General features: G+C 47.0%; 2 annotated features.

The window, feature by feature from the left end:
• Positions 14,591-15,090: an enhancer, noted in NCBI's record as "NANOG-H3K4me1 hESC enhancer chr11:116106067-116106566 (GRCh37/hg19 assembly coordinates)". NCBI's record gives its function as "activates a minimal SCP1, AML or CMV promoter by ChIP-STARR-seq in naive H9 embryonic stem cells {active_cell/tissue: H9 hESC(naive)}" and the evidence as "EXISTENCE:reporter gene assay evidence [ECO:0000049][PMID:30033119]".
• Positions 15,091-15,592: an enhancer, noted in NCBI's record as "NANOG-H3K4me1 hESC enhancer chr11:116105565-116106066 (GRCh37/hg19 assembly coordinates)". NCBI's record gives its function as "activates a minimal SCP1, AML or CMV promoter by ChIP-STARR-seq in naive H9 embryonic stem cells {active_cell/tissue: H9 hESC(naive)}" and the evidence as "EXISTENCE:reporter gene assay evidence [ECO:0000049][PMID:30033119]".

Genomic DNA, 15,919 nt, shown 5'->3' with positions numbered 1-15,919 from the left:
TTGTGTGGCTGCAGAGTTGGGAAATTATGCTGAAGCAATGCATTGCAAATCAGCCTGTGCTCTGCAGAGAGGGGCTTTTATTCTCCAGGTCCCGAAGTTCCTTCGGCAGCTTTTGTGTGCAGCCGCGCAGGCCCTTCTGGGAGGAAAGAGAAGCTGGTAATTTCGTGGCTGATTGGCAGACTGTCCAGAGCCAATAAAGATATTTGTTTCCTTGCTGAAGTGCTCACAAACCCCAATCTCAGCTCCTCAATTTTGTCTTTCTTTCTCTTGTGATTCCCTCCTTCTTTTTCATTATGGAGAGGAATGAAACGTGGGCTGGCTTTCTCCATTAACACGGTTTAGTGTGAGCCCAATGGGGACAGTGTGCCCCATCCTGGGGACCCATGAGGACACAGGACATTTGCCCAGCATACCTGGCCTTTTCCCCGGACATCTAATTTGCTTTGGCACAATCCATGTAGACGAACTATGCACCTTTGGTGCCTGGGAGAGCTTGATGTTTGCATTTTCATGAATCCACCCAACATCCCTATGACGTTTGGCATTGTCTGCTCCATTTTAAGGATGAGAACTGGTGACTTGTCTGAGTTCCCAGAGTTAGTAAATTGTGGCATTGGAATTTGAAGTCAGGTTTATCTGGTTCTGAAGTCTGTGGTCTTGGATTTTGAACGCCCCTAGTGGTATCTCTTTCTAGTAGCACTGATGGCATTTATGCTGATGAAAAGTGCCCTCATTGGTGACTCTAAGACTGGGTTCTTCAACTGGTCAATCCTAAGTCACAGGAACATCTTGAAATTTTAACAAAAGTATCTAAGTTTTGAAATTGAAGGGATCTTGCAGACTGGAATTCATTCCCTTTCCTGCCTGGGCTCACTTTTTAGATAATGAAACTCAGGCCAGACAATTTAGGAAATGGCCCAGGGTCACAGCTGACCCAGGAGTCTGCCAGGAAGAATCCTCACTCCCAGTTCAGTATCCTGTCCATTTTATCTGCAGTATCAATTAGGACTAGGTTTAGCTATGAGTAACAGACACCCAAAAAAACAGTGACTTAACAAAGACTACTGTCTGATGAAAAATAAATCAGAAACAAACAACTCAGATGTAAAATAAATCAGAAGCAATATAGAAGACCACTCTGATGTAAAGTAAATCAGAAGAAGGAATGGCAGCTCTGCAGTGTTAAGGACCAAGACTCTTTCTATCATGTCACTTTGCCATGTGTAACTTCTTTCCCAAGTTCTCTTATGGTCCAAGGTGGCTCCTGGAGCCCCAACCATTACATCCAACGACTAGAAGGAGGAGGCCTTTTCCTTAAGGAAACTTTCTGGAGGTTTCATGCAACACTTCCATCTCACTAGACAGAATTTAGTCTATGATCACGCTAGTTAAATAGGAGGCTGGAAAATGTCATCTTTTAGCTAGGTGCCTGGTTAAAAGTCAGGATTTTGTTCTATTATTAAGAAAGCAGGAGACAGAAGCTACTGGGGAACAACTAGCAGCCTTTACCATAGCTCATTAGTCTCTAAACTGATTGCCAACACCATACCTCCTGGTCTGCAGCTCTAGGAATCCTCAGCTGAGAGGAAAGCTTAAACCAGCAGGTCTTTACTACCAGAAAAATAAGTTTCTGTGTTTTTTTGTTTTTCCCCTCTAGATAAAGGCGGGACACTTTAGTTCTGTAAGAGTGGGCATCATGAGACTTTTTAATAGAATTCCACCTAGTATAATTTTTTTGGATTTTGGTCCACTTCAAAGACATCATTGGTATAGCTTTAATGACTTCCTGGATTTTTTTTTTTTTTTAGACAAAGTCTCACGCTGTCACCCAGGCTGGAGTTCAGTGGCACGATCTTGACTCACTGCAACCTCCGTCTCCTGGGTTCAAGTGATTCTCGTGCCTCAGCCTCCTGAGTAGCTAGGATTACAGGTGCCTGCCATCACACCAGGCTAATTTTTGTATTTTTAGTTGAGATGAGGTTTCACCATGTTGGCCAGGCAGGTCTCAAACTCCTGACCTCAGGTGATCCACCTGCCTTGGCCTCCCAAAGTGTTGGGATTACAGGCATGAGCCACTGCACCTGGCCGACTTCCTGGATTTTATAAACCATGAGGGTAGACGTTTATGATAGACAAAGGAAGTCGTGATGCATGTGAGTGTGCCAGTGTATGCGCACATATTTTTAGAAGGGAAGGGAAACCTCCACTCCACTTTTCCAGTCATGTCCCAGAATGAAAAAGCAGAAAGCCCTGATTTTGTTCATGTGCTGATTCTTCAAGTAAGGTGGAGCCAGGGCTGCTTCTCTGAATGCCTAGAGGCAATTAGGGGCTTGGAATGAGAGAAACAGAATGTGGAAGCTGGGGAAGCAGCCTAGAGACAGTGAGTCCAACCACCTGCTTCTATAGATACAGAAATTGAGGCCCAGCGATGTTGCAGGTTTCCCAAAATCTACGGAGCTGGGATCAGGATCCCCCCTTTCTGATTCCTAGGCTAGGGCTGTTTTGCCTATACCTAAGGCTATTTTGCTTTCTCCAAAATAGATTTGTGTATGGTTCTCTACCTGTTTCATGTGTGCCACTATTGTTTCCCCAACGAAAGATCTGAACCCCTATTATGTTTAAAGGACTATGCAAGACTTTGGTGTAAGGAGAAAAAGATGAATAAGACACAACTCCCCTCTTAAAGAATTTACAGTCTAAAGAGGAATGCAGATGCATTAACAGCTAACTATAGGGCAAGACAGAAAGCACTAAGGGCTACATAGACATATACTTGATGACTGCGGTGGAAAGGCTGATTTGGCAGGATGGGGGGATTGAGGAAGACCTCATGGAGGAGGTCTTTGCGGAAGAGAGATATTGTGGGAAGAGGTAATCTAGATTAGAAGAAAGCATGAATTGAGGCCTGAGAATCACAATACTACTTAATATCCCCCTGCCCTTGGTGCTATTATGGAATTTGGGAGGGCTCAATAGTAGGACCCAAAGAGGGAAAGCCTACCAGGGCCTCTTCTGTCTCCAGGGAGGAGCTCTAGTCCTGCTAACTTGGGCAGTGTTCTTGGTGCTGTTTGGCCATTAAAGTGGCTGAAATAAACAAAGCTGGTGCCGGAGTCCTCACCCAGATCAGCTGAACCAGAGTCTCGATGGGTGGGCACTCAGGTGTCTGTCTTTATTTACAGCCCCCTAGGTGATTCTGATGCCCACTGGGGCATTTTAGAGCTAAGAAGAGGTGACTGAGCCCTGACATAGATGACAAGAGGAGGATGTGGGGATTATCAGCTGAACTCCACAGTAGCAGCTTTAAGGGCAGGAGGCCAGGAGGGAGAACTGAGTCTTCAGATCCCAGGTGGCACCAAACTAACTCCCCACTATGCACATGAGCAGACAAGAACCATGGAAGAGGGAAGCATTGTCCAGGCCCGGCAGCTTGTTAAAGCAGCACCATCATTCAGACTTTTGTCCTTCCCAGTCCCATCCAGAGCCACCTTCACCTCAGTATGTAGCCTCTCTCTGCCTGTTGCTCAGTCTATGCTGAAGCCTTTGCATGACTGATGTGGCTTGACTGTGTCCCCACCAAAATCTCATCTTGAATTGTAGTTCCTGTAATCCCCATGTGTCATGGGAGGGACTAGGTGGAGATAAGTGAATCATGGGGGTAGTTTCCACCATCCTGTTCTCTTGACAGTGAGTTCTCATGAGATCTGATGGTTTTATAAAGGGCTTCCCCCTTGGCTGGGCACGCTTTCTCTCCCAACCGCCCTGTGAAGAGGTGCCTTCTGCCATGATTGTAAGTTTCCTGAGGCTTCTCCAGCCATGTGGAACTGTGAGTCAATTAAACTTCTTTCCTTTATAAATTACCCAGTCTCAGTTATGTCTTTATTAGCAGTGTGAGAACAGACTAATATAGTGATGAACAATGATAAAAAGGCTTGGGTGACTGTTGGTGCCTCTCTTCATTTGTGTGCAGGGGAGGTCTGGCTGTTCCCAAGAATGTGAATTCAAAGGTTGCCTGATTCTTGTTTCTGCTTAACATTCTTCTTGCTTTTGGGGCAGGCATACGGAGCTGGTTCTTCAGAGAAGAAATGGCTAGTTGTGGTGGTGACGGTGGGGGAAGCTTGTTCCTCTTCCATGCATGTTTGAGAGTGGAGAGGGGACAAGAAAGGCAGTGCTCAACAGCTAAGGGAGCAAGGGCTGGTGGGAGGAGTGAGGATGGTCACCCACTAGGAGCTAGCTGAATATGGCTGAGATGCCCCATGGTAAAGGGACAGCCGGCAGCAGGCATGGCGCTGATCTGCAGTTGGTTTTTTGCTGTGGTAAAGGCATTGCTCGTTCAGTTGCTTTACCTTGGAGTCAGTGGAGTCCAGACGTGTTACATTTTTCTTCTTATACACTCCCATGAACCTCCATACCTCTACTTAAAAATCCTTTTATCAGCATTTAGTAATCTGCGATTGTATCTTCAGGGCCTGTTTCCTCTGAGAGTAGGGACCTCCTTGAGGGTCCAGTCTGTCTCCCCCTGTATTCTCAGTGCCTCACACAGAGCCCAGAAAGAGGCAGGTACTTGATAGATGTTTGTAGATAGTGCGATGGGGTGACTGATGGGAGAAACATTCAACTGGACCTTTGGGAGGCAGATTCTTGCCTGATTCTGCCCCTGGCACTCTGTGGGATCGTGAGCAAATCATCTCTTTCTGTGCCTTGTGTCTTCCCAGTGAAAATAAGCAAAACTAAATCTGCAGTGAGCATCCCAATCTGTTTCTTAACAACTGAACCTTATCGGATGGGACAGTTACCTGAGTTTCCAGGCCCTGGTTCTAATTCCAGCCCTGCCCCTTACTAGTACTCCCACCACTGAGCCTCAGTCCTATAGGGAGTTATGGAGATTAATCCACAGAACAGGTGGAAGGTGCTTGGAGAAGCTTTGACGTGCTGGACACATGGATGGTTTTCTTCATACAAGGCCCCATTTGTTCTAACCAAGGACAGAACAAAATGTCTATGTATGAGAGATTTCAGACATTAGAACTTACCAAGAGATAGCCCAGATGGATGTCAGAACTAGAGGTAAAAAAAAGGAAATAGTACAACTGTAAGGAAGTGGGGGTGTCTAACTTATTGGAGGGCTGGATCAGAGCTGGTCTTGTCTGGATGAAGGGACTAGATTAGAAGTCTCAGGAGGACTTTGTCAATCATTAGGGTCAATAGCTGAATCAGTTTGGAGACAGAGACTTCTGCTCCTTTGCTGATTTCCCCGAAGCTCTGGGTAATGGTGTTTGCATGGCTGTAGATTTCCAGTGAACACCTGCCGAAGCCTTTGCCTTGGGAGAGGCTCCAGCAAAATCCGGGAGCTTTGGGGAAAAGCCTGCCAGGCTGGCAGCTTGGTTTGCTCCTTCCTGCAGGGTCCCCCAGTCCTTACTAACAGAGAGACCAAGAACCCAGGTGTCCCTTCCAGGCTCTCCTGGCCTGCAAGGCCCCCTCTCAGTACCAACTTGGGGCTTATCCCTCTTGGCTCTTGTGTGGCTCGGGAGGGACCCAGACCCAATCATCTCAGCTCCAAGAGAGAAAAGGAAGAACATCTGTTAACACAAATGCTTTTCTAATTTCTTTTTAAATCTCACTCAGCATCTGCGTTAAACAAGGCTGATCGGCTTGTACAATATTTAATTTTGGAACCATTTCAAAAGGCGCTGGTAAGAGGGGAGCAATGGGGAGAACAGCAGCCTCCTAAATCTTTAATAGCGCGCTGGTTAGGAGCTTCCGCCGGGCTCCGTCCTAATCACACAGAGGAGAATAAGCAGAGACAGAATTTCTTAATAACAAATACCTTTGCAGCACCTCATTAAATCACTGCATTTCAGAGACACAGCAGGACACTTGGGTGAATAAATAGTGCAATCTCCTACTCTGAAGGATTTTCACATCTGAGTTATTTCTCCTGCATATGATCAGTTCCTTTCTCTCTCTCTCTCTTTTTTTATTTTCACAAATGATTTTAGCTGATGAGTTCAATTAATGAAGACATTAGAGGCAAAGTTGGAAAAGCACTTCTTTCCTCTCCCCCTTTTTCATCTCTTCCTCTCCTCCACCTTATAACCATAGAGCCTTATTTTGTGTGTTTTTGCAGTTTAACAAACGTCACTGCCAAATGAGAGATGAGAGAAGGAGAGGGGGTGGAGAGGGCCACGCTGGTTGATGTGAAAACAAAGCCTTCCCTGGCTGGGTGTTTATGAAGATGCTGATAAATGGGGCCGGGGAGAGAGAGGCCGGCTGGGATGGCGCAGAGGTGCTGCAGGGCCTCTGGCCACCTGTGGATCCACATCCCTTGCTATCAGCAGCTGCACCTGATCTTCAGTGGGGCCTGCAACAGTACAAGGAACTGAAGAAAACCATGTGTCTTCAGTTGCACTTCAGTGTTTATTGAGCACCTAATGTGTGCCAGGCCCTGAACTAGCTGCTTAGAATTAATGCTGTCATCAAAAATCTAAGCCAGAGAGCCTCTTCTCACATTGTCCCTTACTACAGTTGACTCAATTAATCAATCAATATTTCAAGATTTTAATGAAGAGGCCATAAACTGGCAATCCACAGACTGTGTCCAGCTTGAAGACATTTTTTGTTTGTCCCAAATACTGTTGGCTAACTCTCTTTATTTTTTGCTTGTTGACTCTTGTTTTAAATAGAATCAGTTGGCTGAGTGTCGCATTTTTAAAACTGTGGTTTATAACCCCTGGGTGGTTCTTAAAAATCAGTCTAGAAGGGGAACCCAAGTTGCCTATGCTTAAGTTTTGCTTTTGGGAGAAATCTGTCTCTAAGCTCATTCTTCAGTATATTTTCTGAGTCTTTCAATATATGGGGGATTATTTGCTCTTACTTTCATAAATAAGCTCCACTTTGAGAACAAAAATGGAATAGGATAAGTAGGATAGGATAAGATGGGATGGAATGGAATAGAATAGAATAGAAAAGAGAAGAAATAAAAGAAGAGAAAACGGTCAGTATGGGTTGCACATGGTAAGGTAGGTGTTATTCCATTTTTGCATGTGGTGTATTTACGTGCTAGTCTGTGATCTAAAATGCATTTCTTGCTGTGGGCCCCAGAAAACAAACTGGAAAGCCTCTGTACTCATTTGAAATGCCCAGCACCAAACATTTGCCTTATTACAGAGCATCCCTAGACACGTTTATCCTGATCCTGACTGCCTGAGCTTGAAGCCCACTTGGTCACATATTTCCCATGTGACCTCGCTGTTGGTGTCCAGTGGTAGCCAGTGATGTGGTTGTAAGTGGCCAGTGGTGTCAGTGTCCTAAGCAGATGTCCCTGAGGTTTGGAAATGGCAGGCTGTGTCTCCCTTGGATCCTGCCTGTTTTCCAAGTTCTTTTCTTCAGCGTTCTCTTCAATTCTGTGAGCTCACCATTGTCCCTCTAATAAAGTATTTACTACCAACCAGAGTTGGCTTCTGTGCTTGCAATCGAAAACCCAGACTGCCACATTTAGAAATCAGGAGATTTCACATAAAAGTTTGAATCTCCAGTTTCCTTTGAAGGAAAAAAAGTCTTGTGTTAGGCCTGTGTTTCCCCACAGAAAACCTATAGATAGTGCATTGCTTTTGTGTGGCTGTGGTAACAAAGTGCCAGGAATTGGGTGGCTTAAGGCAGCAGAAATTGATTCCCTCACAGTTCTGGAAGCCAAAGGTCCACAATTTGCCAGGGCTGTCCTCCTTTTGGAGGATGGATGGAGAATTTATTCCTTGCCTCTTCCAGCTTTTGGTGGCTCCCAGCATTTTCAGGCTGGTGGCCATGTCGCTCCAGTATCTGCCTCTGTCTTCACGTGGACTTTTCCTCTGTGTGTCCATGTCTTCTCCCTCTGCCTGTCTTAGAAGGACACTGTGCTGACATTTAGGGCCCACACTGATAATCCAGGATGACTCCTCATCTTGGGATCCTTCACGTTATTACCTTTGCAAAGATGCTTTTCCCAAATAAGGTCACATTCACGGTTCTGGGGATTACGGCATGGCCATATCTTTCTGGGGGCCACCTTTCAGCTCACTACAGATAGATGTCTATAGCCTCATCCAGCCTGCTTTATTCACCCACATGGCCTCCTGGGCCTGCTGCTATGTAAGTTTTTGGCCTCTTTATCTAGCGAATGCCTGCTCTACACCCAGGCCCAGTGAGAAGCCGCAGAAATGCAAGGAATGGTTTCCATCCTCAGTAGCCTTGTCTCTCTGAACGCAGATGCTCAGGGAAGGCTGGAGCGAGGATGATGGCTGCATGGAGCTGGTGGGCCTTGTCTGGGTCTTGAAGGATTGAGAAAGTAGAAGGGGGTGGAGAGGAATAGCTTTCCCATGTGAATTGTGTGCTGGGCAATGCTCCAGGTGCTAGGGAGATAGCAGTGAACAAAATAGACCAAGTCTGTGCTATTATGAAGCTTCCATTCTAGCGGAGTGAAAAAGACAATAAACATAATCATAAAATGTCAGAAAATCTAAGTGTGATACAGAAAAGTAAAGCGGGGGCAAGGGTATGGGTCCTGGGGGAGCGTGGGTGATGCTATTTTCATAGTGTGATCAGGGAAGACTTCTGTGATTAGATGACATCTGAGCCTGGTCCTAAAAGAAGGGAGGGAGGGATCCACATATATATTTCTGGAAACAGTAATCAAAGCAGAGGGATCAGCATGTGCAAAGGTCCTGAAGCAGCTGCGTGCTTGGTGGGTTCTGGGAATGGCTTTGGGGCCACTAGAGCTGGAAAGGAGTGGTCTAGTGGGAAGGCTGTAGATGGGGAGCACTGGGGCCAAGGTAAGTGTTTTTAGGAGTTCAGGATCAAGGACACACTCCTTAGCAAGTCTTTAAAGCAGGGGATCATAAACATGGATGAGGAAAAAAAGGCTTCATTTTCACTGCCCTCCAACTGAAGTGTAGCATTCCCTTAATTATAAATGTAGGCACTGTCCCTAGCATGTAATTCACAGCAATTTGGGTAGTACCTGTGACTCTGTCATCCGGAGAAATCACAGATTTTTTTGTTTGTTTGTTTTTGTTTTTTGAGACATAGCTTCACTCTTGTTCCCCAGGCTGGAGTGCAGTGGCGTGATCTCGGCTCACTGCAACCTCCACCTCCCGGATTCAAGCGTTTCTCCTGTCTCAGCCTCCTGAGTAGCTGGGATTACAGGTGCGTGCCACCATGCCTGGCTAATTTTGAAATCAAAGATATTTTTATATCATATTACAGTTATTACACTTATCTTGAAATATTGTTTTCTCTCAGCACTACTTCAAAATTATATAATTAGACCTGCCACCAGAATGTATTATTTAATGCATTAATAAAAAGCTCGTATATCACTATATCACAAATTAGCTTTGAAAAAATATTTCCATAACTGCATTTCAATATAATTTATTTCCTATGTAATCTTATGTATTTTATTTTATGCATTTAAAGACATAATTCTGGGAAGAAGTCCAAAGGCTTCACCACAATCCCCAAGGGGTTCCTGGTGCATGACAAGGTTAAAGGGCCTTTGCCTTAAGGCCTTTGGAATGTGGCTCCTGCACACACTTGGCCTCATATCTGACTGCTTAGTTCCCCCCACGCACAGTGATGCTATCCTCCATCGGTACTGATCTACAGGCGGTTTCTCCAAATGTGATGCCCTTTATTCCCCTCCAGCCTTGGCAAATGCTGCTCCTTGTGCCTTGAACATTCTTGACTGCCTGCCTGCCTCCCTCCCTCCCTCCCTCCCTCTCTCCCTCCCTCCCTCCCTTCCTTCCTTCCTTCCTTCCTTCCCTCCGTCCTTCCTTCCTTCCTCTCTTTCTCTCTCTTTCTCTCCTTCCTTCCTTCCTCCCTCCCTCCCTTTTCTTTCTTTCTTTCTTTCTTTCTTTCTTTCTCTTTCTTTCTTCCTGCCTTCCTTCCTTCCTCTCTTTCTCTCCTTCCTTCCTCCCTCCCTCCCTCCCTCCTTCCTTCCTTCCTTCCTTCCTTCCTTCCTTCCTTCCTTCCTTCCTTTCTTTCTTTTCTTTCCTTTTCTTTCTTTCTTCTTTCCTTCCTTCCTTCCTTCCTTCCTCTCTCTCTTTCTCTCTCTCTTTCTTTCTTTCTTTCCTTCTTTCTTTCTCTCTCCCTCTCTCTCTTTCTCTCCTTCCTTCCTTCCTTCCTCCCTCCTTTCTTTCGTTCGTTCTTTCTTTCTTTCTTTCTTTCTTTCTTTCTTTCTTTCTTTCTTTCTTTCTTTCTTTCTTTCTTCTTTCCTTCCTTCCTTCCTCCCTCCCTCCCTCTCTCTCTTTCTCTCTTTCTTTCTTTCTTTCTTTCTTTCTTTCTTTCTTTCTTTCTTTCTTTCTTTCTCTCTCCCTCTCTCTCTTTCTCTCCTTCCTTCCTTCCTTCCTTCCTTCCTTCCTTCCTTCCTTCGTTCCTTCCTTCCTTTTTGGTCGAGGTTTTGCTGTGTTGCCCAGGTTGGAGTGCAGTGGGGCAATCACAGATCATATCCTGTCCTCAAGCGATCCTCCTTCCTCAGCCTCTCGAGTAGCTGGGATTACAGGTGCACACCACCACACCTGGCTAATTTTTAAATTTTTTTGTAGAGACAGGGTCTGCCCATGTTGCCCAGCATGGATTTGAACTCCTGGCCTCAAGTGATGCTCTTGTCTAGGCCTCCCAGAACATTAGGATTACGGGCAGGAGCCATTGTGTCCAGCCATTGTTGCCTTTTTAAAAGTTCTGCTTATCCTTCAAGTTTCAGCCTTGCTGTCACTTTCTCCAGGAAGCCTCCCCTGATCCCCCCATGTTTCAAGTAGACCAAGGCCTTTTCTGCCTTTCTGATCAGTCTGTGAGCTTCCTGAGGGTGAAGGCTCAGTGTTGATCTCCTCTGGTGTCAAGTCCAGTGCCTGGCACGAAGCAGGTGCTCAATATGCTCAAGAAATATTTTTGGACTGTGAGAATGAGTCATCTCATTGAATCCTGAAACAATCCATGATGTAGTTGGGATTCCTTGCGTTTTGTAAGTGAAGAAGAAGGAGGTGGGGCTAGCCAGCAAAGGAGAGTGGCTGGAGGAAGGGCTTGGAGCTGTGTGAGGCAGTGGGAGCCCTGTTTGAAGCAAGGGCACTGTGGGCAACATTGGGAGACTGGGCTGTGGAGAGAGGGTGAAGCCGGGTGGGCGTGGAGACTGAATCTGGGGCTAAGGACTTACACTTGATGCAGTGGTCATGAGGGGAGGGCGAGGTCTGGAAAATGTCAACCATCTCCCCCTTCCTGTCCTCTGGGGAGGATGGAAGAGAACATTTGGTCATCAGGCTTTGTAACAACACTTACTGTCTCGTGCCCCAGTCTCTTCTCTGAGCTTTGCATTCCTAGTTCTTTTTTGCCTTTTTCATCCAATAATCTTTTGTTTCTTCAAGTGGTGTAGGGCTCGCATCTTGGTTTAGTAAAAAGGTCAGGAGGTAGATGTTGACTTCTCTCCCTTACATTTATTATCTGTGTGAGTTACCCAAGTTCGTTAGACTCCAAGCATGCCTAACACTGGTAAGCTCTCTACCTAGACACAAGCTCCTGGCCAGGCCCATCCTCAGTGACACCTGGCTCATCTTCATCCTCCTGGTCTTCACTCATCCTATGCTCTCTGCCCATGCTGTGGCCCTGCCCAGAGGCTGGGGATCCTTCCAGGCCAGCTTCCTGTCTGTAGAAACCCTACCCATCTCTCAAGGCCCAACTCAAGCACTACCTTTTTTGAAGTCTGTGATACTGTATGACACCAGGCAAGTTATTTAACCTCTCTGGCCTCAGTTTCCTCATCTGCCAACATAGAATTGCTATGAGGGTCAAATGTGCCAATGCAGGAGTGGGCCTTGCTCACGGCAGGTGTCTGCCACCAGTTTGCTTCCTCCCTGTCTTGGGTGTCTCAAGAGGCTGGCCAGCCAACGTGCATGGAGCCCTGCTCACATCTTCGTTAACATGGACAGGTCTGTAATCACTTCTTCTCTCAGATGCTCCGTCCCCAGGCACATGCACTTCTTGCTCTCCTGTTTGCCTTCCTCTTGCTATGTCCCACACGGATCTCCTCCATAAATTTTTCAGCACATTCTTTATAAGCAATGAGGCTGCAGGCCAGGGTCGCATCCACATCAAAGGGTTTCTCTGGGAGCTGGAGTGGGAGCTATGGTCTTCTGAGGTGGCCAGGGGGCCTCTCCATTTGTCTGTGCCTTTGGGGGCCAGGCCTGCGGCTACCTGTCTTTATCTGGGCTGGTGCTCTGTGCAAACAGTAAATGCCATTGAGCAGGTTCTCTAAACGCTGGGCTGGGAAGAGGCCTTAGAAAAGAGGCCTAGCATGTACAGGGCACCCTTTGGGATAAGCCTGTATCAACTTTGTTTAGGTTCTTGCACTTCTCCTTTCTGCATGGTAGATATTATTAGCCCCCACTCTACAGACTAGGCAGCTGAGGCCTAGAGAGATGGATGGGTTTTCTCTTCCTCCACCCTGAACCTGGTCCTGTGAGTCCCATAGCATGTGATAAGTCACACAACTTGCGAGTGGCACAGCCATGAATAAAATCTACATTGGTCTGCCTCCAAAGCCTAAGTTCTTCCATTGTGCCCCTCTGTCTGCATACTCCCTTGCCCAAGTAAGTGAGGTCAGGGAGCTGCATGCTCTAGGGAGGAAGAATCTGCCTCACTCTACGGGAAGGCACACAGAGATGCTGTAGGGTGACACGTATTACAGGCTGCACAGCAAAGACAGACCAGGATTTCTGTGAAGGCTCCAGTCTTAAGGGACAAGAGTGAGGGATCATCTAGATCCAACTGCAGTGGCCAATAACTAGGAGAACCTCCGGGAGGCTGGGGCACTCACCATGCCATCAATGTAATAATAGTATTTGTTCCCCTGACCCCCGACCAAGCTGCTCCCACAAAGCCTGGGATGCTGCCAGCATGTACTGGGAGAAGCTTTTTACATGAAGGCTAGGAAAGGGCCTTGGAAACATTTAGCCGGACTTGTGATTATTGGTTCTTATCCATAGGCTCACTCACCTGAATTCCCAAACTCCTCCAACTCCCCAACTTCTCCTTCTTCGTCTTCTCATCCCATAAAGTGCCAAGAGCTCTGCAGGCCTCTCTTTTCTCATCTTCTTCCTGTAGCCATGGTCTGAGATTGGGCCCTATGTAGTCAAGAGTGTGGACTCTGGAGCCAGATTCCTGGCCAACTGCCACACTGCTTACTTGCTTTGTGACTTCTGCAACTGCTGCATACCTCAGTTTCTTCATCTGTCAAATGGGGATAACAATTGTACTAGCTTCACAGCCTCTCCAGTATAAGGTGGCTGCGCTCCAGCCACCTGGAACTCTGCCCAGTCCTGGTTTCTCTGCCTCTGTTTTGCTCAATCTGTATTCTTCCCAGAACACTCTCCTGCACCGTGCTGCCCATCAACATCCTGCCCATCCTCTTCTTGAAAGTTTGGTGCAGATGCCTCTGGAAGAAATACTGCCTCCACGCTGAACCTGGTCCTGTGAGTCCCATAGCATGCGATAAGCCATTGCATGCCTTTTCATGATCTCCTTTCTGAATCTGAATATATGTCTTCACTACAGCAGGTGCTCAGTCCTCATGTTCGTGTGTTGAATTAAACTGAGGTCCTCTCACAACTTAATGTGTGTCTTCTAAGCAAGTGCCCTTTAATAAATAACAATTCCTCACAACTGAATATCGCTTTATAGTGGAGCAGCTCACTTTCACAGGCAGCATCTCAGTTCATCCTCAGAGCAGCTCTGAGAAGGCAATTGTGGTGTCAGCCCATTTTACAGGTGAGGAAAGTGAGTTCTGGAGATGTTCCTTATCTTGCTCAAGGTTACATGGCTAATAGGTAGGGATACAGGACTTTAGACTCTGAATCCCACTTACTTTCCACCTCCAGACTTCCCACCGTCTTTTCCTTTGTTCAGGTGTAGACAATGTGAGCATCCAGGTTGACTAAAAACATTTCAGAGTAACAGCTCTTGCCCTAGATATCGGTTGCATTGGTCTCCTTTTCCTCACTCCCGAGCGCCCTCTCTCATGGGCTGATGAGAGAACTTGGGTGAAGAAATGCTTCCATAGGAAGAGATGAGGGGCCCCGAGTCCCAGACCTAGTGGGCAGTACAGTTATTTATGTATTTATTTAAATTAGAGACTGAGGTCTCACTACATTGCCCAGGCTTGTCTTGGACTTCTGGCTTCAAGCAATTCTCCCCCGTGTGCCTCCTAAAGTGCTGAGATTACAAGTGAGAGCCACCCCACCCAGCCTCTAGTTTAATGGCTTGAAGTCACACTGGCCTGGCTTTATATCCCACTCACTGTGCTTTCCTCCCTACCAGTGTGAAATGGGATGATACTATATACCTCGTCTGGATGTGGTAAGCACTGAATGGCATAATGTCTGTAAATCCTATGGCACAGTGCCTGGTACACCAGGGATGCTCACGAAATAGGAGCTAATAGTAATAGTTAACATTTATCGAGGATTGATTTTGTACTAGAAACCCTATTATTTCCATGTTTATCTCATTTGCTCCCCCCAACCCACAATCCCTTGCAATATAATTACTACCTCTTTTTTTCACAGATGAGGAAACTGAAGCTCAACCTGTTACATAGTTGCCAAATGCCCAGAGTTTTTCAATAACGCCACAGGGGCGAGCCTGTGTCTGTTCATGGATGCATCTCCACCTTTGTACACCTGGTCCACTGCCCCACCTGGTAGAGTCAATACATACAAACTGTTATTATTATTGTGGCGCCAACAACCAAATTAGGATGGCAGTTTTGATATGCTTAGCCTGCCAATGTAGGCTTGGAAGTTTGAGCTTGGCAATGGGTTGCCAGGGGTGTGATAGGGATGGGGAGAGAGGCTGGCATTGGGCTGTGGCCGTTGCAAGCCTGTGGAACAGGGGAAAAGAAGCCGCCTTTCCTCTCTTAGCGCATGGGCTGGAGGCAGAGCCCTGGGCCACTTGTGCCTGCAGTGCCTATCCTGATGGATGGGATCTGACAGTGTCCTCCTTCCCTCCCAGCACAGGGAATACAACCCCCAGCCAGCAGGGGACTGAGTCCAGGTGAGCTGCAGGCCTCAGGCAATGACAGATACTTTGTGCAAACAATGCCTCCTCCCTGGGGGCTCTACTTCCCTGGGCAGTCCTCTGAAAGAAATGACAGCATGGAGCACTGAGCCAGCAAGACCACAGAGGCTGTCTGCCCAAGGCAGCCCTAACGATGGCATCCACAGCCAGCCTGCTCCGACACCATGTTCACATCCCAGACCCCATCCAATCTGTCCCCTCCATTGAGTTCAGGAGGGGCGAGGGAGCTATTGGAGCTGCAGACTGCTTGGTGGTCCAGATAGAACACTGAAGAGATGGAAGGCTATTCTGGCTTTGGGTCTATTTCCTCAGCTCCCCCACTATGATACAATTGCTTGCTTCTTTCAAGGGCTTAGAGGTGGCAAGAGCTGGAGGAGCCTCAGAGATTGTCTAGTCTCACATACTCATCAGGTGCCAAAGGCACCTCAGTGGGAACTTGAAATAATGCTGTCACTGGATGGTCACAGTGCTATGGGCTTGGCCAGCAGATGTTGCCTTTGTGAAATGTGAAAAGGTGCCCTCTCTTGGGGGATGAAGCCCTGTGCCAGGATGTGCTGCTTGGTGAGTGCCAAGTAGGTGGAACTTATGCCCCCTCGCATCCCCTGGGCCCAGCACCCTTGCAGTGGGCAACCTGCAGTGGGCAAGTACACACAGCCATCCTGAAACATCTGAGCCCAGAGAGAAGTCCAAATCCTCAATGTGACCTACAGGTGATGTGCTAGCTGCCAAGTTTCAGCAAACATCAGTCTCCTCTCTCACTCACCTGGTACCCATGCTGGATTCCTTTGGCAGCTTCTTGCTGCTGCTGGGCCTTTTTGCACTGGTA

Source organism: Homo sapiens, chromosome 11 (assembly GCF_000001405.40).
Source record: "Homo sapiens chromosome 11, GRCh38.p14 Primary Assembly".
NCBI classification, from domain to species: domain Eukaryota; kingdom Metazoa; phylum Chordata; class Mammalia; order Primates; family Hominidae; genus Homo; species Homo sapiens.
The sequence above is the reverse complement of the archived record's forward strand: the minus strand, read 5'-3'. Positions and strand labels throughout refer to the sequence as shown.